At 43.0% G+C, this 20,945-nt stretch overlaps 1 protein-coding gene across 2 annotated transcripts; it reads right to left on the minus strand.

Annotated features, from left to right (window-relative positions):
* Positions 1-689: 689 nt before the first annotated feature.
* METTL21C (methyltransferase 21C, AARS1 lysine) lies at positions 690-19,243 on the minus strand. Of its 2 annotated transcripts, XM_047430117.1 has the most exons (6): positions 19,123-19,243; positions 10,531-10,779; positions 9,312-9,701; positions 5,756-5,907; positions 1,883-2,000; positions 690-1,368 (listed from the first exon to the last, which is right to left on the minus strand). In XM_047430117.1, exons 3-6 carry the CDS (start codon positions 9,439-9,441, stop codon positions 974-976), a joined length of 795 nt encoding a protein of 264 aa, XP_047286073.1. In that variant the 5' UTR covers positions 9,442-9,701; positions 10,531-10,779; positions 19,123-19,243; the 3' UTR covers positions 690-973. The 2 variants fall into 2 exon arrangements, with proteins under 2 accessions (XP_047286073.1, NP_001010977.1); NM_001010977.3 differs by lacking the exons at positions 10,531-10,779; positions 19,123-19,243 and having other exon boundaries at positions 9,312-9,987.
* Between the last annotated feature and the right edge of the window lie 1,702 nt (positions 19,244-20,945).

Consider the following 20,945-nt stretch of genomic DNA (forward strand, 5'->3'; position numbering starts at 1 on the left):
TGCCCATCTTTTGTTAGATTGATTCCTAAGTCTTCACTATTGCAATTGTAAGTGGTATCTTAATTTAAATTTCATTTTCTAACTATTTGTAGTTAGAATTTACAAATAAGATTGAGCTTTCACTATTGACATTTGGCAACCTTGCTAAACTCTTACAAATTCCAATAATTTCACTGTGGATCGCCTGCAGTTCCAGGGGTTGGTAAACTATGAGCTGTGAACCAAATCTAACTTGAGGCCTGTTTGGGCAGGCTAAGAAGGTTCTTACCTTTTCATAAATGGTTGTAAAAGCAAACAAACAAATATATATATATATATAGCATAGTATGTGACTAGAGAGCCTAAAATACTTACTGTGAAAAAAGCAGACAATACAGAAATTAACTAGAAATTATTAAGATAATTGACACAGAGGGAGACTCTTTGTAAATTATCTTAAGAAGTTCTTAAGACAACATTGTTCTCATTCCGGCAGTTTTATTTTTCACTTTTAATCAACTTTAAGCCTATTAACTGTTTTCTATCATTCAATATCCTCTTTTTGCTGCAGTTAAAAATCTGCAAAAGTAGATTCTTCAAACTAAGATATAGTGACTCTGTCAAGCCCAGTTTCAAAAAGCATGTGACAAGACTATATTGCCAAGTTTAAACATATGCTCTATAGCAGAAATAGGGAAGAAATTCACTTATTACTTTATCCATGTAAGATTTATTAAACATGTAACTTCGTTGGAACCAACAAAGCTACTTTCATGTTTTTATGTTGTTCTTTTTAGATATTTAGATTAACCAGATAATCTTAAATTATCTTAGAAATTAGAAAGTTTCTGCAGTATTGTTACATTTGTTCCAAGTATACAAGTTGTTTCTATGCACTACCTTCTCAATCCTGTGAAAGAAGTCTATTACCAAAGCAATTTCTAACACATTGCTCAAAAGACACAGTAACGTTGTGAAAGGCATTTTGTTGGATTTAGTCCCATTTTAGTATCCCCTTAAAAAGTTTGACTGATGACTCTGGATATTCAGCCAACAGTGTTGTGTCAAAAACTTGCTTGAATTTATCTAAAAATTCATAGTCGGTGCTGAACCTGAATTTGTTTGCCCAAAGCAGCACCGTCCCTGGCTGGGAAAGGTACACCATGGTGGTGAGCAGCTTGTCCAGGAAGTAGTGATGGTAGACCACATCTGAGGCTAGGACGTAATCATAGTAAAAAGCTGACTTGGGAAAGTTTTTGTCCAGGTCTTCCCCCCATACCAGTTCTTTCACTTCAGGCAGATGTGCTGTACATTGTAGTGTGTTTTTTAAAAGATTGTATTGAAGGTTTCCCAGGACATCAGGCAAATCTGTTGCTGTGACTTGAGCTCCTAAGAGAAAAAGAAAACAATGACCTGGAAACATCTGGGCAGTCACAGTGTACATATACCCAGGGAGAAACACAAGAAACAACTGGATTCCTTAGCCTTGGCTCTATTGGTGGGTGGGCTGGACATGTTTGACCTAATGTGGGCTGGCTAATTCTTGTGGGTGGTCCGTCCCGTGCACTGTAAGATGGTGAGCAGCCTCCCTGGCCTCCAACCACCTGATGTCAGTAGCTCCCCCACCTCACCTCACCTGTGGGATTGACAACAGAGATTCAGAGTCATGCCTCTGGACTCAACTTCGTCCCATGGAAACTGGTTGATTGGAGTTTATTAACCTCTCTGAGACTCAATGATCTCTGTAGATAACAGCAGTAATTCCTGCCGCATGACATTTTGGGGAGAGTCACTGAGTGAAGTTAGGGCCAGGCACCTAAACCACAGCCTGTCATAGAGTAAGCACTTGCTATTGTTGTTACAGTAAAGATCTGGATACTAGGTCAGGAATAAACAAACAAACCTAAAATACTGGCCACAATGGAAACAAGGCCTGGTCCGGCACCAATTTCAAGTATTTTTGCATCTTGGAAATTCAATTCCTCGGCATGTTCCTCCAAGTATTGACACAAAGCCATAGCCTAAAAAATAATTATAACTTTTCATGTGGGCATTGGAACATTGGAAACCAGTAGCAACCCTTTCTGGCACCCAAATTTAAATACTAAAAGACATGTTATTACATATGTTCAGTTTATATTCATAAGAACCCAAATGTACACTCAATGCCATATTTAGACCTCTGAAATAAAGAAGTTATAATAAATTGCATCTCAGGAACTGGGGAAAAAGATTTGTTAAATTGCCTCCTAAATCTCCAAAGAATAGGAAGAACAGTAGATCAGCTTAGCTCTTTCAAATCAGGGCAATGTTGGGCTAAAAGAACAGCAACTCCTTCCACTGGTTTAATCATGTTGGTCTCCAACTGCTTTAGGAATGTTGTTTTATGTTAGAATTCTTTCTTGTAAGAGAGTTTTTTAAATTATAGAAGTAATTTTTTAAAATGTCAATTTATAAACTTGAACACCTCTTTCCTGACTCCTTTACCAAAATTCAGGTTGGCGAGCACTTTGCCGTATTGAGCGACGGGTTAGTGACTTTTTTTAAAGTGGTTCTTCTAAGAAACAGACAGTTCAGAAACTGCTTCTCAGACTTCAGTGTGCAAACAGATTCCCTGGATAGCTTGTTAAAGATGCAGATCCTCATTCAGTAGGTCGAGAGTGGGGCTCAAGATCCTGCACGTCTAAACAAGCCCTGACATGATGCTCATCTGCTGGCCCATGTACCCACTTTGAGTAGTAGCAAGCAGATTTTTTTAAATGTTTTATATATCAACAAATATTGTTAGTTTTTTATACAGGAAATCAAACTTCCCTTTCTTCTTTATTCGTTCTCTTCTCCCTCCACCTTCCTCTAACCTTTCCACAAAGAGTAAAGGGTATTTGATTTGCATTGATTGCTGAGGTGTTTACGTGTATGGCAATGAGGCATCAACTAGCAGTGCCCTTGATTGGAGAGATTAGGAAGAGTTATGAGAAGAAATGACAAAAAGTTACTTAAATTTGAGTATAAATAGCCCAGCGTGAGGAACGTGAACACTGAGATTTAAAAAACAATGAACTCTATAATTTACTTATACATTTAGGCCCTAGCTAAAGATATGCCCCCATCTTCCTCTGGACTCTACTTTCTATTTGGGGCCCAGTTTGGAGTGGGGGCAGCCAGGATGATTGGAGACGTGTCACTCTTAGGATTACCAGTGGTAGGTTTGGTAGCCAACCTGACCCTGTACGTCACTCCATTTCATCCTCATCTGTTCATATTGAACTGCCACGGGCAAAGATGAATATGACGCAGTCACCTCTACTGTCTGGGAACTCAGTGGTGGGGCTTAGGGGCCATGTCAGCCAATTACAAACTGAATTCTGGGGAGGTAAGTGCTGTAGAGGAGGCAGACAGCTGGTTGAAGGGAGAGGGGTCACCACAGAGCCGCCGAGGAGTCTGGGCCGACTTCATGGGGCCGGGGAGAAGCCAGCTGGTGTGGAAGGCCAGGGCGGTGGGTAAAATAGCAACATGGTGTGACATAAATAGCACCAACTGCAGCACGCTGCAGGGAGCTCCAGAGCTTAGAAGGGAAGTTTTGAAGAAAGGAGTTCTTTGGTCCTTAAGGAGAGAAGAGAAGTATTTGCTGTGGGGGCTGGGAGGAGGGGGTCAATGTCAGGAAAAGAGTGTCACCTAGAGCCATTCAGAGGGCAGCTCTGAGGAACTTCCTGGAGATGGCTGCAGGGGTCCTTCCTGGTGCCCTGCCCTGTGAGGGGCTGGCCGCAGGGTGTCATGCGGAGACAAAGCTTTTCTCAGGGACAGCTGTGTCTTTTGACATTGCAAACATTCCCCCGCCAGCCCCTTGTCCTGTTAGCAAACTCTGAAGAGATCTTTTCACAGAGTTGCACCTGAAGTCGCACAGGAAAAGGGCGCCTTCCCACTCTAGATGCCCTTCTTGTGCAGCTTTCAGGAAGCAGGTTTCATGAGAGGCTAGTGTTTGGTGCATGAGTGATACCTTGTTCAGAATAAAACAGGGGGACAAATATTCTTTTTTCAATTTCTGATCTTTTTTTTAAAATTATTATTTTTAAAAGGGAGATGGGGTCTCACTATGTTGCCCAGGCTGGTCTCAAACTCCTGAGCTCAAGCGATCCTCTTGCCTCGGCTTCTGAAAGTGCTGGGATTACAGGCATAAGCCACATGCCCGGCCTCTGATCTCTTACTATACCACTTTCTCGCTACACCACTGCTGTCGTCTATTTGCTGAATGTGTTACAATAGGAAGCTGTGAGTAGTTTGGTGATTTTCAAACTCGTTTTTAAGGCAAAGAAAAGCCTTTAGTTGAAGGAAATTATATGCATAAGGTGTAAAAATAGAGCTCCCTGTTTGGGAGTGAGTGAAGGTCGACACCTAAGAGCCTGAAGCCCTTTGGCTACCCTTCTCCCCATCCTGTGCCATCGCCAGATGACCTGAGGGAGCCCCGTGGAACCACTAACCAGGAATACTCAATGTGGGCACCCTGGCCCAGCAGATAGGCATCACCCCGGAATGTGTAAGACCTCCTGAATCAGAATCCGCATTTTAACAAGACTGCAGATTGAGAACTTCTGATCTGGAGCCTTTCTAATCACTGACAACATCCGCAGTGGGAAAAGCAACCACACTGGCTCTGAGGGCCACTGTCTATCTTGGCTCTGCCCTGCACCCCAGTCGGGAGCTTTACCACGCCAGCAGACTGGCCTGCGTTCCCATTTCCTCAGCTGAAAGGTGGAAAGAATATTACATTAATGAGGACAGTTCATGTGAGCTTACGCTAGGACTTCATTTAATCTCACAATCTGAAATTAATTCTCACAATTCTGACAACCACGTCAGGAGCACTGTAGACATTACGACCACCCTAGGTTTTAAATATGGAAATGAAGGCAAACGGAGGTGAGGTGAACATTTGTGACTACCCAGCCCTGAAATGGCAGCTTTTCTGACTAAAAATCCAGAGGACTGCCCCCATTTCAGCGCCATCCTCTCAGGGCTGTGGCAGGGGTGACATGCCACAAAGTCATGCTTCCTAAACATCCCTACCGACACAGCCCCCATGGAAAAGAGATGAATGGCTGGCCGGCCGGGCGTGGTGGTTCACGCTTGTAATCCCAGCACTTTGGGAGGCCGAGGTGGGCAGATCACTTGAGGTCAGGAGTTCAAGACCAGCCTGGCCAATATGGTGAAACCCTATCTCTACTAAAAATACAAAAATTAGCCAGGCATGGTGGCGCGCACCTGTAGTCCCAGCTACTCGGGAGGCTGAGGCAGGAGAATTGCATGAACCCAGGAGGTGGAGGTTGCAGTGAGCCAAGATCGTGTCACTGCACTCCAGCCTGGGTAACAGAGTGAGACTCCATCTCAAAAGAAAAAAAAAAAAAAGAGAGAGATGAATGGCTGAGGGTCGATGGGCGTGGCTCGGAGATGCCCACTGCAAAATCTAAACTCTAAATCCCTGGGTTTATTCTTAACAATTTATACAAGTTTTGCATTCACTTCCTCATATAGCTGAGTTTATTTAATATAAAAATAATGTTTCGAGAAACAGAGCTTGAAGCAAAACCAGTGTTTCTGAAAGAAACACTGTTTTTGCTGATCCCAAGCACTCCACCAACACCCTCCAGGGGGCAAGCAACTGAACCTCAAATTGAGAAGCAGGATATGAAGGAACTTGACAAATTGTCCAAGGCAACTCTGAAGTACGGAATTGTTATCTCCAGAAATCCTGACATCACAAATATGACAGTTCTCTCACCCCTGGCCACACCACCGCTCCGTAACTCTCTATGGATTCCTGGATGACAATCTCCTTTCCTGCAAACCGATAATGCTCCTGAGTGTAGCTGGCGTAATCTGTAGGAACAAATTTCTGGAGGCTATGAAGAGATGGTTCTATCTTGTTGGATTCTGTGAAGCAGAAAAATAAAATGGAGTTCATGATTTGTTCAAATCCAGTGCAAAGACACACTTGGTATAATTGCTAAGATGGCATTAGATTGAATGACCTTTACATAAAGAGAAGGGATGATGCTATCAAGGAGAACGGCTGCAAATTGGCACAAAATTGAATTATATGGGGTGATGGGGACATGAAATTTGGATGTGACAGTTTTATCAGATGACAAAATGCCAAAGAATGCTCTGGGCCTTTTCTTTATTTAGGGGAGGACAGAAGATGTGTGGATCGGTCCCCACCCTAAATTTTGCTGATGGAAAAATGGCGAACTTACCAGCAAAATTGCACGAATGAGCTGTCTGGATACAGAGGAACTAGGTAAACACAAACCTGCCTTTTTTTTTTTTTCTTTTTGAGACAGAGTCTCACTCTGTTGCCCAGGCTAGAGTGCAGTGGTGTAATCTCAGCTCACCGCAACCTCTGCTTCCCGGGTTCAAGTGATTCTCCTGCCTCAGCCTCCTGAGTAACTGGGATTACAGGCGTGCGCCACCACGCCCAGCTAATTTTTGTATTTTTAGTAGACACGGGGTTTCACCATGTTGGTCAGGCTGGTCTCAAACTCCTGACCTCGTGATCCACTCGTCCTGGCCTCCCAAAGTGCTGGGATTACAGGCGTGAGCCACCACGCCCCGCCAGACCTGCCTATTTTTAGGTCTTGAAGTGAAGTAACATTCCCACGTGTTGGCTGGAGCATGTTCCTTCAATCTTTCCTACAATTGCTGTTCAAAAGGTAGAGGCCCAGCCAGCCCCACAGCCCTGGGGGAGGATGTCAGCTGAGCTCTGGCTATTAAGTTACTATTGCTTTAAATACTCCTTTAAACCCATGACCCATCTAGCAGCTCTCAGATGGCATATAAAATGAGAGGAAAAGAGCACCTGATCGGGCTGACATCAAGAGATCACAAGTGTTTGCAGGTTTTCCAGAGTGTTTAGGAATAAAAGAGCAGTGAGTCAAAGTGTGTGGAAGAAGGAGCAGGAGCAGAGGAAAAGGTGTTGGTCCCAGCGGGTGGGAAAGAATTAACAGTGCGGAGAGTAGGGGGGAGGAAGGTCAGTTTTGTTTGCACGAAACCTGCCTTTGTGGCCTGGGATATGACTGTAAAATGTTTAACCGGGGGTCAAATATGGGCTTTGGACAAAGGTAGAAGGGGGCAGCCGGTGAACATTGGAAGTGTTTTAATCTGAAATAGCCTCTCAAGGTGGAAGGCAGGAGGAGGTGAATACGAGGCAAAGGGAAGTGGGTCTTGGGAGAAACCTGGTCAGCAGGGCATCCCTCAGGTCGGGGGCAGGGCCTCCGGGTGTTTCAGGTCTCACTCATTCCATACACACTGGAACAGTTCCCTGCCACTGCTCTGCAAATGCTGATAACAGCTCCACAGTAAGTAGAGGGATTTGGAGTGAGCCTTTAGAAACAGTCACAACCATTTGACGATGCCTGTTGAATCTAACTACAAACAAAACCCGGAGCTTGTATTTTATATGTCTGTATATATTTTCATTTAATTTCTCTAGAAATTCATTTTTGTTGTATATTACAAAAGTATCAGTGTGCAGCACACTAAAAAAAAAATGTGAATGAAGTGACTCATTTGTAAATTAGCATCATGGGTGCCTTCAGTTCTTCAGAGTGTTGTTTTAGCCTGTGACTTTGATTTAGTATGTTCTACCACTTTGAAGGAGAATTCTCTGCCCTGACAAAAAAGGTGAGCTTCCAGAAACCTGGGACCTCAGTGAACTTGCAAGACGCCTCTAATAAAGGTAACCAATTCAGTCCTGAGACCTTGTCCTTTGCGGTCACCTGCCCTGGTAGGAGGCTGTAGGGAGATTGTAGGGAAAGGAGGGAGCCCTGTAGCTTTCCCCACCTCTTTTGGGAAGCCACTGACATCTAGCAGAACCCCAGCTCCCAACACAGGGCTGAGAGGCTGGCTCTGAATTCTGGTTTAGAGGCAGGAGGAAGGCCGAAAAATAGGGTGATTAATGTTTAATAACTAGTTCAGCAAGAGGGGAAGAAGCGGTGATTGACAGCGTTTGACGATTGCTCTGGAGTAAATACTCCCACCGTGCCGTTTTCAGAGAAGCAGCATGACTTCGCTGGGGAAAGACGTGCAGTACCTCGCCACTGTGTAGTGTTCCTACCGTACAGACACCACAGACACGATTAACCTCGAGAGCATAGATATTAGGAAGAGGTAATAGAATAATTGATGATGAGTTTTGAGTGTTTATCAACTTTGCTTTTAATATACCTTTGTCTTTAATATAATCTATTTAATCATAAGATTCTAACTTAAATTTAAATGATGGTTATATATAACAATCAGCTACAAAAAATGCTGAAATTCAGGTGCCAGTACAAGCCGTCGCCAGCACACCACTGGGTGGTGGCTCAGAGCATCAGGGACCTGTACCAGCCCCTGCCGGCTTCCCTGCCCTGCCCCACTCTCATCCAGGCCATGCCTGTCCCTCCTTCCAAATGTCACCATCTGGGGACTTATTTTTCTCTAGAGACTAGGAAGAGTAAGTAGGCTGATTTTGAATGGCTCATCATTTCACAGGTAAATAAACTGACAAATATTAAGCTTGACAGCTGCACTTTTCCAATCAACATTGTAAGGAAACATAGACATACACGTATTCTCTCATAAGACCCTGTGAGGTTCTACAACGATAAAGAAACATATGTTTTTGTGCCTGAAATATTTTCATTTATTCTCTGTGCTATTCTGATAGTTTTAGAGAGATCAGATTTTCAGATAAGGTAGAGTTGCATTTTTACGTAAACAATGCAGTAAAAATAGACAACATTCTCATTTATTGGAGTTGGGATACATTTTTTACCACCTTTAATTATGAACACTGTAAATGCTGCATCTTGGCTTTTATTAGATCATTTGTTATGTCTATTATTTATTTACAACTGAATCCATGCCCAGAAATGTAACCCTAAACTGTTACATTGTCCTAACGGGGAAATACAGTTTGATTTATAAAGATTCACTGTATGACAAAGCTACCAAGAATGTATTTTGGTGAAAAGCAGAAATGAACCTAGATTTTTTGTTCTTCTTTTAAGTTCTTGTTACAAAAATACAGCAAGCTTAGATCTATACATAGAAAAAAAACAAATGTGCAAACTTTGATAAGTAATGAAAAACCAGGAATTACTTTTAATAAGTAAATAATGAAAAAACAGGAATTATGTTTATACTTGCAAAACATTTTTCTGCTAAGCTTCATTATAGCAAAAAATCTAATGTTAAAAGGAAATGGAAATTCTTGTCACTGAAATTTACTTGAAGATGTCATCGCCAGGAAAACAACTGAGGAAAACTGTTGAAGTGATGAAGAAGGAGGTTACCTTCTAGGACTCCCCCGGTGCTGTCTTTCTGCGGAGCCCCCTTCTTCTCAGCCTCTAACCAGCCACCCGGGGAGCTGAGTCCTTCCCCCCGGCGCCCAGGCTGCTGCGCGGAGCTCAGACACACGTCCATAGCCGGCTGTCCCAAAGACAGCTGTGCATTGAAAAGCAATCTACAAAAGAACGACTATAATCTACTGACTGACTGTTACTAGTTCAGCACATCTATGATCTACATCGCATGTTCGTAATTAATACAGAATTGGAAATGACTCCTTGTTAGTATGCCCAAAATAATTTTGAATTGTTACACGTATCTTTACCTTATGCAGCAGAAGAGATGTGAGGCTTCTGTGCACTCTTTAATCCCCAGTGTTTTATATAGGTCTACACCTGAAAGGATTAGCATTTGATGAACAAAATCCAGCCAGTGGAAGCCCAAGTTATTTAGGGTAGCATTATCTACCAGTCCTCATAGACACATTACTTTGCTAGAATTCTCTCTCTTTCTCTCTCTCTCTCTCTCTCTCTCTCTCACACACACACACACACACACACACACACGCACAGTCCTAGCAACATTCAATGGAATTCCCTTCAAAAGTTTCAGGAATATCACTGGAACAGAACAGAGGCTGCCCCTGTGGCATCCAGTTGCTGCGATGTGGTTCGAAACGTTAGACTTCCAGTTCACTTTTCAAAGAAGTGGGTGTTGGACAGTTGCACAGACTTGCAAATTTTGTGCTCATTTGCCAAACTCCAGTAGCCACAGGGAGGACATGCCCACCCAGCCTCTGCCTAGGACCCGTATCCAGGCAGCCAGAAAGAACACAAGGATCTACCAAGAGGAAGGGAATGCTTTGGGGAGGAAGAAAGGAGAGCATCTATCCATGAGAAGGGACGGGAGTCAAAGGCTTAACGTTGAATCTGGGGGATTTAGAGCAGAGGGAAGAGGAAATCAGAAAAACTCTTCCAAGAAAAAGTAAGCCATTGTGATTTATTTAACTGAAATAAGGGATAGTCAAAAGGGAAGGAGAAAAATCATGTGCTCATTTGTGAAGCTCAGAAACCCTTAAAATAGAATATAGGTCACACAAAGTAAAGCCTCAGACAAATGGGAATTAAAGAATCACTTGTGATAGGCTACATTCAACCAGGGAGTTGGATGAATGGTGTTTTAACCTGAGTAGATATAAAAGCCCATTTTTGTTTTTGTACCCACCCTCGGTACTCGTTTCTCTGGTGTCACTATTTTGTGTTCTTTATGTCAGTTTCTTTTCACTCAGGATGTTCATCTAGATGTGCTGTGGTCCCATGTAAATCACCTTTCCCACTTTCTTAAATGACTGGGGATAAGCCGGCATTTGTTCCAGCTCTATCGTTCTAATGCTTTCTTATTCCCCAAATGCATCTAGTTCTATGATTGCATTCTGCATCTCTGCAACTTATTTCTTCCAGGTGTCATCAGTCCCTATGAGAAATAGCAAAAAGATAGTCATCAGTACAATTCTACAAAAACCTTTTAAAAACTGATTGCAATGTACGTGAATATATGTGTGTATATTTATATGCATGTAGACACACACATAGACAAACATATGCGTTCATTCTACAAGCTTTAAAATGAAGCAAAGGACGAAGGAAAAAATGTTGATCTCCTTTAATTCTACTATCTAGAGAAAGAAACCTCACCAACTTTTTTTTTTGTATCAACTTCTAGGCTTATTTTTTTTGTATAAACTTTTTTAAAGCTATTTTACTGAAAATGTGACTTGATAGAAACATGTACCTCTTTAACCTAGCATCCTATTAAGAGTTCCTTTTTAGGATGAGTTCATGTCCTTTGCAGGGACATGGATGAAGCTGGAAACCATCATTCTCAGCAAACTAACACAGGAACAGAAAACCAAACACCACATGTTCTCACTCATAAGTGGGAGTCGAACAATGAGAACACATGGACACAGGGAGGGGAACATCACACACCTGGGCCTGTCAGGGGGTGGGGGACTTAGGGGACGGAGAGCATTAGGAGAAATACCTAATGTAGATGATGGGTTGATGGGTGCAACAAACCACCATGGCACGTGTATACCTATGTAACAAACCTGCACATTCTGCATGTGTACCCCAGAAATTAAAGTATAATAAAAATAAATAAATAAATAATTTAAAAAACAGTTCCTTTTTAATACTTTCTTCAAAGCCATCTTTTAGATAGCTGCTTTAAGATATACATCAGAGCTCTATTGCCTGGAGCTAGACCACGGTAGATCAAAGGCTCTTAAATGCTGGACTTACCTGTAGGCAGAGGCTATGTCCAAATCACCCGGAAGCTTTAACATGCGTCAACTCCAGGCTCTGGCAATTCTTGTTTGCAGGTGTGAGAAGGAACCAAGAAGTCTGAATTCCCTGTCTGAGAATTGTTCTCTGACATATGGTAGCTCCTGGCACATAGTAGGTGTTGTAATTGCTGAATTTGTTATTGAGCGAAACTCTGAGTGCCCAAGCAGCCACGGGAAGACTCCAAAGGTTCAGGAAGGGATTGACGGGGGGCAGGGCAGGGAGGGAACAGGGCAGGGACACACAAGTTGTTTTCAAATAGTTGAAGTGCAGCCGGTGAAAAGGATTAGTCCTCCTGCATGGCTTCGGAGGGCACGCTGATGAAGTCAGTTACTGGGAAGCAGATTTGGGCTCAACAGGAAAGAACTTTCTAACAAGTAGAACAATGGAACAATTGATCCCAAGAAGCCTACATAATGGAAAGTGGGCCAGATTTGGAGTCAGAAGATACAAGATTGGATCAAAGGCTCAATAAGGAGGCTATTCATGTGCTGTCACTCGCCTCTCTCTGTCAGGATGGGCACTGCCTTTTTTCCTATGAAATCTGGCTCTCTTGGGCTGTGGTTCTCAAGGGGGAGTCCTCCCCTCTTGCCAAGGGGACATTCAGCAATTTGGGGGAGACATTATTAGTTATCGCAATAGGGGGTGGGATGCTCCTGGCATCTAGTGCACGGAGGATGCTGCAAAACCTCCTACAATGCACAGGACAGCCCCGCACAGCAAAGAATTACCCAGCTCAGAATGTCCACAGTGCAAAGGTCAAGCCACCCTGGGCCAGGCAAAGGATCAGCATTGCCATGAAGGGTAAACCACAATTACCAGCCTAGGTGTCTACTGACTGAGTGATGTCAGGTGAGTTGTTCCCGCCTCCCCTGTGTCTCAGTGTTCTCGTCTATACGGTGGAGGTGGATTTGCATTGATAGAGGGATTAACACAGGACCAACCCTGAGCTGCATCTTCCAAGCATCCCAGAAGCCCCCATCTTACTTAGTCTGGTTTCTCGATGAAGCAGACTCCAAGGCAGGGATTTGAGTGAAAGTATTTTATTTGGGGAGTGTGAATAACACAGCAAGGAAAGTGGACGCAACCCAGGGAAAGGGTGACATCCTGCCACGTGTGTGCCACAAGACCAGCAACAGGAGCAGGCGACCAGAGCTTAACCCCATGGGGAGACACTGGGAAAGGAGGCAAAACACACACTTCAGAATTATTCCACTCCAGCTGCAGAGAGCTCCGGTGGTATTTTTCCAGCAGGACCTCAGCTACACATGCAGAGCAGCAGCCAGGGCACTCCAACACATCTGACACACATGAGCGAGGCCAGGACAGTATCTGCTACAGCTTCATAAGATGCCGTTGCTCCTTTCCAGAATCAACAGGAGCAAGTGAAATTTTATATATCTGAAAGAATCTGGCACAGTGCCAGGTGCTCAGAGGGTCCTCGATAAATAAATGTCTCATATTATCTTGTATGTTGTTCAAACAGAGGGTTGAGTCCACAGGGTTCTTTGGAAGGGTTCTGGATCACTCACCTAATCATATGGAAAAGCTGAGCATCTGAAACCATCCCAATAAACTTTATTCATCAGGGAAGAAGGGAGGGAGAGAAATGAGACTAAAATGAGCTTGCAGCACACGCAGCATGGATCATGAGGTCGGCCTGTTCTCTGACGCACTTCCTTGTTGTTGTTTGTCTGTTGTCTTAGAATCAGATAGACCCTGTTACAAGATTATAGATCCCCTTATCTGCTCTAGAGATAACAACTAGAACCTTATGAAATGTTGTTTTCCTTTGAGATATTCTTTCACGTCCTACATGCCACTAAAACCACCCACATCAGCAGGTCTGAAGGACCCCCCAAGAAGCTGACTCACCAAAGCACACAGGCTCCACATCCTGATAATTTCATCCTCCTCACCCTGACCAATCAATGACCCCAATTTTCCAGCCCCTCATCCTCCAAGATCCCCTTTAAAACCCCAACTCAGAACTCTCGGGGAGATGGATTTGAGGGTCTTCTCCCATCTCCTCACTAGGAGCCCTGCAATCATTAAACTCTTTCTCTGCTGCCTCCTGGCTGTCTCAGTGCATTGGCCTGTTACTACACAGTGGGCATATGAACCTGTTGGTCCTATAACACATCGGCCTTGAGATATAAAGGGTCCAGGGCTGCTCTGGTTCCAGAGATATCAGCAGCAGGAGTTCATGGACCTTCTGTTTAAACATTGCCATTGAAGGTCACAACTGCAGTCACCATCCATCACTGTGTATCTATGGTCAAGATTCAATGTCTAGGGAAAAAGATTCCGAGTGCTCTTAGTCTTAAGTTCACCCCTATAGTCAGGGCTGGGTTGTGGGAAGCCTTGCACCAAACCACGAAGAGCAGGCTGGCAACTCAAAGAAGGGATGCAGGGCCATAACCCATAAAAAGCAAGGGTTATAATAGCCCTCCTACCCTTCTTCTCACCCAGTGCATACATACTTCCTTATTTGCATAAATACAACTTCACAGTGGAGACCCACCCTTTCTACAGTGGAAAATAACCTGAAGTCTCCTCCAGCTATTGCAACTAAAGGCAATGGAGTTGCACTTCCCAAGTCCAAACCTCTAGATGATGTCCATTTCTTCCCTGGCTCCGTTGCTTCTTCCATAACAGGCACATGATCCCAGGGGACCACTGACAATAACTTGATTGGCTGTTTCACCACAGCTCGCCCTGGGCTGCTATTCCTGTTCCCATCCCAGAATATGAATAGGAGACTCATTGATTTCCACATTGATCTTTCCTAAAAGGTCCACAAAGGATGAGATACTGATCAGGCAAATGCAAGACATACCCACCATGCCTACTTATAAGGGAGACTCAGTGGGAATTCCCTCCCAGAGAAGTGAGGGTTTCATTGGAGACACAGACCTTCTTCAAGAACCCTGGAACCACCGACATTCAATGTGTGTGATTTCCAGTGAGTAATGGAGAAAAGGTCAAAGTGAAATCATGCAATTTCATAACTTCTGGTCCCTCAATTAGCTGGTAACACAGTGGCCCAAATGTCAGAATCCTGTCTGTCAAATGGTCCAGGGCTGCTGCAATACCCCCCCGACCCAGCCCTGCACTGGCCAGACTTCTGGGGGAGTCCCCTGAGAGCAGCCGCTGTGACTGCCAGCTGCTTCTATATGGGATGCAAAGACTGAGGCCACTTAGAACACCTGTGCTTCAGGATTTTAAGACAGGATTCTTCCTGCTTTGGATTTGGCTCTGGTAACAATTAAATCCTATACCCACTCAGGTACAGTGTCAAATCTCCACCTGCAGAGAAAGGAATTTTGTAAACTAAAATTTGTCAGACTTGCGAACATGGAAAATATTACTTCTGTTTCATCTTAGATGACCAACATTACCAGTGAAGAAGGAAATAAAGCATAGCAGTAAAATAATCCAATAGGTTTGGAAACAGCAGTGAAGTTATAGTCTTTTTATTTTAAAAATAGCACATGCCTGTCCCTAAGCATTCGAGCCCCAGGCTTCACTGCAGGGGATGGCCTGGCTGTCCATAAATCACCTGCCTTGTAAAGTGGCTCTGATCAAAGGCCAGTGTGTTGCCTTGATAGACTTATATGCACTTTGGAGAATAGACATACTTAGTTGTTCGCTTCTATTTTTTATTTTCTTTCCCCAATCCAGTCCTTAAAACAGATTTCCCCTCAAAGAAATTTTATTGTAATTTTAGAAAAATCTCCAACTGCAACTATGTGTAAATCACAACGGGTAACTGCCAGGTTTCATGTTATCAAAATAGCCAAGAATGCTTTGCAGCTGAGCTATAAGCATGTGATATTAATTACACGGAGGAACGCTGTGCTTGGGAAACAAGTTTGGATGAGAAAGTCTGACACTGAAAATGTGCTTGAAATAAGGGATACTCTGGCAACGACATTTATTCTATTTTCCACTTTAATAAATGATACCTTTCTGCAGCTCACTTTAATCCTCAGATAAATGAAGTGAAATAAATGTATCAGTGTGGAAACACCATATCTTCACAGTGATTCAGCTTTGAAGCTGAGGAGGGGCAAGGATGCCTCGGTTCCTGTTTTACTGTGAGGCCTGGGAAGCAGCAGGAGAGGCTGCCCCATGACTCTGACACCCTACGACTCCCAGCCAGGAGCAGATGCCTCCAACGCTGTCCGTTCTTTCCATAGCGCCGTCCGCTGCTTGGACATGACACTTTTGAGAGGGGACTTAGTTGTCACTAATCATGCTCCGATTTTAGCAACAGCAGTTGACCACTGTTCAGAAAGATCATTTTTTCCCAACAGATTTCTATTAGGAAAGAATGTGTTTACCTGATGGAACTATTCTGGGATGTGCCACAACGCGGAATTCCTTTCATTCCTTCCCCTGTTCTAGGGGAAGGAATGGACTCCATTGGAGAGACGTTCTCCCATGAGGCCATGCTGTCAAGGTTTGGGGGGAAATACTCTGAATTATTTAAATATCTATCCAGGTGAAAAGCAACAGAGAGCCTGTTCCTTGGAAGCTGAGCCCTCCCCCTTTCCAAATAAGTGGCCTAGATGCGCCTCTTCAGCTCTGGGGTTCTGTTTCCTTCGTCTCTGAGAGACATAGCACCTTTCACATACCAACTCCACCAGGTTCTGGAAGGAAATGCCTCTGGGAACTTCTCCAATCTGCTTCTACCCCATTCTCTAGTAAAAAGCAAAGTATTTGGGTGGAGAAATAATGAAGCCATTCAAGGAAGCTGCCTCCATAGCTGCACCTTCTCACGGACAACCACTGCCCCTTGCGTGCAAATCTTATATGACCAAGACAAACGTTTAGGGGACAAACCACTGAGATGCTGGAGGTTTGTTATCACACATACTTCTAGTCTAGCCTGATTGTGTGTGTGTGTGTGTATGTGCGTGTGTGTGCATGCATGTGTGGCTGTGTGCATACTCTTGTCAAATGATTATTCTACGAGCATGAAGAAAAGTACAAGGCACATGCTGCAATATTAGTGGGAGCTGATAAAAGGGGAATTTGTGTGTAATTCCTCCCTTTAACAGACTAAAGAAGAAAAACTATATGATCATCTTGAAAGATATATAAAAAAGTTTGGTACAAGTCAACATCATTCATGGTCTTTTAAAACCAACATAAATATTAGGGGACTTCGGCAGGGCCCAGTGGCTCATGCTATGATTCCAGCACTTTGGGAGGCTGAGGCGGGCAAATCACTTGAGATCAGGAGTTTGAGACCAGCCTAAACAACATGGTGAAACTCGTCTCTACTAACAATACAAAAATTAGTCTGGTGTGGTGGCGGGTGCCTGTAGTCCCAGCTCCTCTGGAGGCTGAGGCTGGAGAATCACTTGAACCTGGGAAGTGGAGGTTGTAGTGAGCTGAGATCGTGCCCTTGCATTCCAGTCTAGGTGACAGAGCAAGACTCTGCCTCAAAAAAAAAAAGTGTGTGTGTATATATATACATATATATATATGTAGAGAGAGAGAGAGAGAGACAGAAAGAGAGAGAGAGACTTCATAAACCTGACAACATGTGTCCACTGAAAGCCCACATTAAATATATTCATTATTTATACATAATACACACATTAAATGGAGGAAAATTACAAAGACAGGAAAAAGACAACAATATCCACTGTCACTGTTCCTATTTAGCATTGTGTAGAAGTCTGGACAGTATGATAAAAGCAAGGAAATGAAATAAGAGCTGTAACAATTGGAAAGGAATAAACGAAGTTTCATGTTTGTAGATGACATGATTTTCCATATAGAATATGCAATAAATTCTATAGACAAACTATTTGGAACTAATGAAGGAGTTTATCAACTGCGTGTAAGATCCTGTACAAAAACAGGATTTTTTTTTTTTTTTGAGACGGAGTCTCGCTCTTGTTGCCCAGGCTGGAGTGCAATGGCGCAATCTCCACTCACTGCAGCAACCTCCGCTTCCTGGGTTCAAGTGATTCTCCTGCCTCAGCCTCCCAAGTAGCTGGGATTACAGGCATGTGCCAACATGCCAGGCTAATTTTTGTATTTTTAGTAGAGACAGGGTTTCACCATGTTAGCCAGCCTGGCCTCGAACTCCTGACCTCAGGTGATCCACCCACCTCGGCCTCCCAAAGTGCTAGGATTACAGCCGTGAGCCACTGCAACCAACCCCAAAAACAGCATTCTTATATACGAACAACAAAAATTTAGAAAGGGTAATTTTTAAAATATGCCATTTGCTATATAACAATAATTCCAAAGTACCATGGAATAAAATATATTGAAAGATGTTACATGAAACTGTCTTTTTCTCAAGATCTTTCCCTGTAATTGATGGAGAGACAGCTTCAAATAAATACTCTCATTGCAGTGGGATAGAGGTAACATGAGCTATCATAAACCACCTGGTTATGACATTTACCAATGACACCTTTCTTTCTATAGCTGATGACTAGATCTTCAGCAAAATAAATCAGAAGCTTTTAGAGCTTCACGTGCTGCCCTTCTCCTTTCCCCTCCCTGCTCTCTTCTGCTCCTTCCTCTCCTTTCCTAGAGCTTAGTCAATGGGCAGCTGGAACTTCTAGCCCTGAGGGTTCTAGGTGCCCCGTAGCCAGGCCTGCAGGCCAGAAAACATCAAATCTCAAGGTGCTGCCACAGTTAATTCATTGGTGTTCTTTTTCTCTCTCTGTCTCCAGCTCTGTTTGCTTTTTGTTGTCTTTCATTACTCAGTTAAAGTTAACTGCCAGTTTCATTTAGTTTTGTCAAAATAAATGGAAAGAAAACCCTGAAGCAGGAGATGAATGTAAACTGGGAAAATCTTGCAAAATCGCAAAGATAGTTCTTGGCGCTTCTGTTAAAGGAAACATTATTCAGCGACGCTCGTTACAGCACAGTGAAGCAGATGTTATTCAGGATCATCAGGGTTGGTGGAGGAACCACGGCAGTGAGGTTTTGTGGTGGGGGAGATGGGGCTTGTGAAAATATATAATTCAAAATCTAAGCTGTTGGAACTTTAAATTATTTTGACCCTTAAAGGAATGTGATTATGGGGCCTGAGTCAGGCAAGCAGGCAGACATAACCCAGGCAACTGAAACCTGTGTTTCTCTGATTAGAGATTAAACTTCTTCCTTCCCTACATTGTTCTATTAAATGTAAATGACTTAAGGGCCTCAGGGAAGACCTCTTCCCTATTCACTGTGGATCTTCATTATAGATTAACTTTCTCCCTACCTTTCTCACACAAAGACTTTATGGCTATCACATTGTCTTAAGATGCAATACTAAATATACTGTTTTAAATTGGAAAGAAAATGAAAACAAGCAGCAAACAAACTGTCACCATTTAAATTGCCGTAACTCATAAACCAGCTTTGTATAGAAAATGTTACAATCCAACTAAACTTCTCTGTTTTCTGCCTATATAAGCAAAAGCTTAATTTTTAACGTCAGAGCGCTCACCTCATTTCTCTGGAGTCTGTGTTTCCCAGATGGATATTCTCAGCTTTTCAAAGCTTAAATAACTTCTTTCAAGCTAGGTTCTAATTCTTTCGATTATTTCAAGTTGACAGGGTCAAGTTCTACCACAGCAGGGGCAAGTAAGAACTTATAGTCAAGGAGCAGGGAGGGGGTCAGTGGATAGAAAATTACTATGAGGTAACATCTGGGTAAGGAGGATTCTGGCTAAACCGACCTAACAGGATTCTTGCTGAAGACAGGTCGGGGTATGAGACATCACCTAGGGGATGGTGGAGGATGAGGAATCTTACCCTGAAGATGAGGAAGATGGAAGATGATCAGATATCAAGGGTTCTGGCTAAACTGACTTAGCAAGCTTCTTGCTAAAACTAGATTTCACAAGGAAGTGCACAGCTAGATCAAGAAGTGGCATGAGGAACCTGGGTCATGCAAGAATTTTTGTCCCTTCCAGAGACAGAGGGCACTGAAATAGATACACTTCTCCCTGAGACAGAGAAAGGTAACCTTCTAAAAGCTCTGGAATGAAAGATGACATTTACAGCTTCTTATCTCTTAGATTTCAAATGCTATTGTCAACTGTAATACAAAAAAAAAAAAAAAAATGGTCTCTCTCTGTCTTCTCTCTTTTTAACAGGTTGGGATTTTGCTTGCGCTGTTGCCCAGCCTGGTTTGCAGTGGCGCAATCATGGCTCATTGCAGCCTTGATCTCCTGGGCTGAAATGATTCTTCCGCCTCAACCTCCCAAGTCTTTGGGATTATAGATGTGACTACTGCACCTGACTAAAAATTGGTCTCTTTATTACATTTTTCCTTTTTTTTTAAAAAAAAGAATGATGGTCTCTTTTTAATTGGTATAATGAATACAATCCACTGGCCAAAGAAGAAAGAAATAAAAGCATGTGGATATATATGTGCATGTGGTGTGTGTGTGTGTGTGTGTGTGTGTGTGTGTGTACTGTCAATAGACTAGTAATGTCACCTGATAGGTGTACTGCTGCTTTTCAGTTTAAAAACCCCATCTATAAACACCATCTCATTTGATGCCCATGGCAATTGTGTAGGATCCATAGAAATGGCATAATGAATACTGGGGCACAGAAAGTGGAGGAGAGGTCCCTATTAGTCATCAAGGGCAGTGAGAAGGAAAACAATGAGTCAAATAAAAACAAACCAGCCATGAAAGAAAACATTGATATCCTGGACTTCATTAAAGCTTAAACTTCTGCTCTGCAAAAGACACCACCAAGAGAATAAGACACATCACAGACTGGGAGAATATATTTGCAAAAGACATATCTGATAAAGGATTTTTATCCAAAATATGCAAAAAAAACCTCTTAAAACCCAACGATAAGCAAATGAATAACTCAATCAAAAATGGACAAAAGATCTGAACAGAAACCTCCCCAAACAAGATACACAGATGGCAAATAAGCAGATGAAAAGATGCTCAACATCATATGTCATCAGGAAAATGCAAATTAAAACAAGACACCACTATATACCTATTAGAATGGCCAAAAGCCAGAACACTGACAATACCAAATGCTGGTGAGGATACAAAGCAATAGGAAGTCTCTTTCATTGCTGGTGAGAATGCAAAAATGGTTATAGCAACTTTGGAAGACAGTTTGGCGATTTCTTCTTTTTTTTTTTTTTTGAGACAGAGTTTTGCTCTTGTTGCCCAGGCTGGAGTGCAATGGTGTGATCTCAACTCACTGCAACCTCCACCTCCCGGGTTCAAGCGATTCTCCTGTCTCAGCCTCCTGAGTAGCTGGGATTACAGGTGCCCACCACCACACCTG

The sequence above is a fragment of the Homo sapiens genome, chromosome 13 (genome assembly GCF_000001405.40).
Source record: "Homo sapiens chromosome 13, GRCh38.p14 Primary Assembly".
In the NCBI taxonomy this organism is placed as follows: domain Eukaryota; kingdom Metazoa; phylum Chordata; class Mammalia; order Primates; family Hominidae; genus Homo; species Homo sapiens.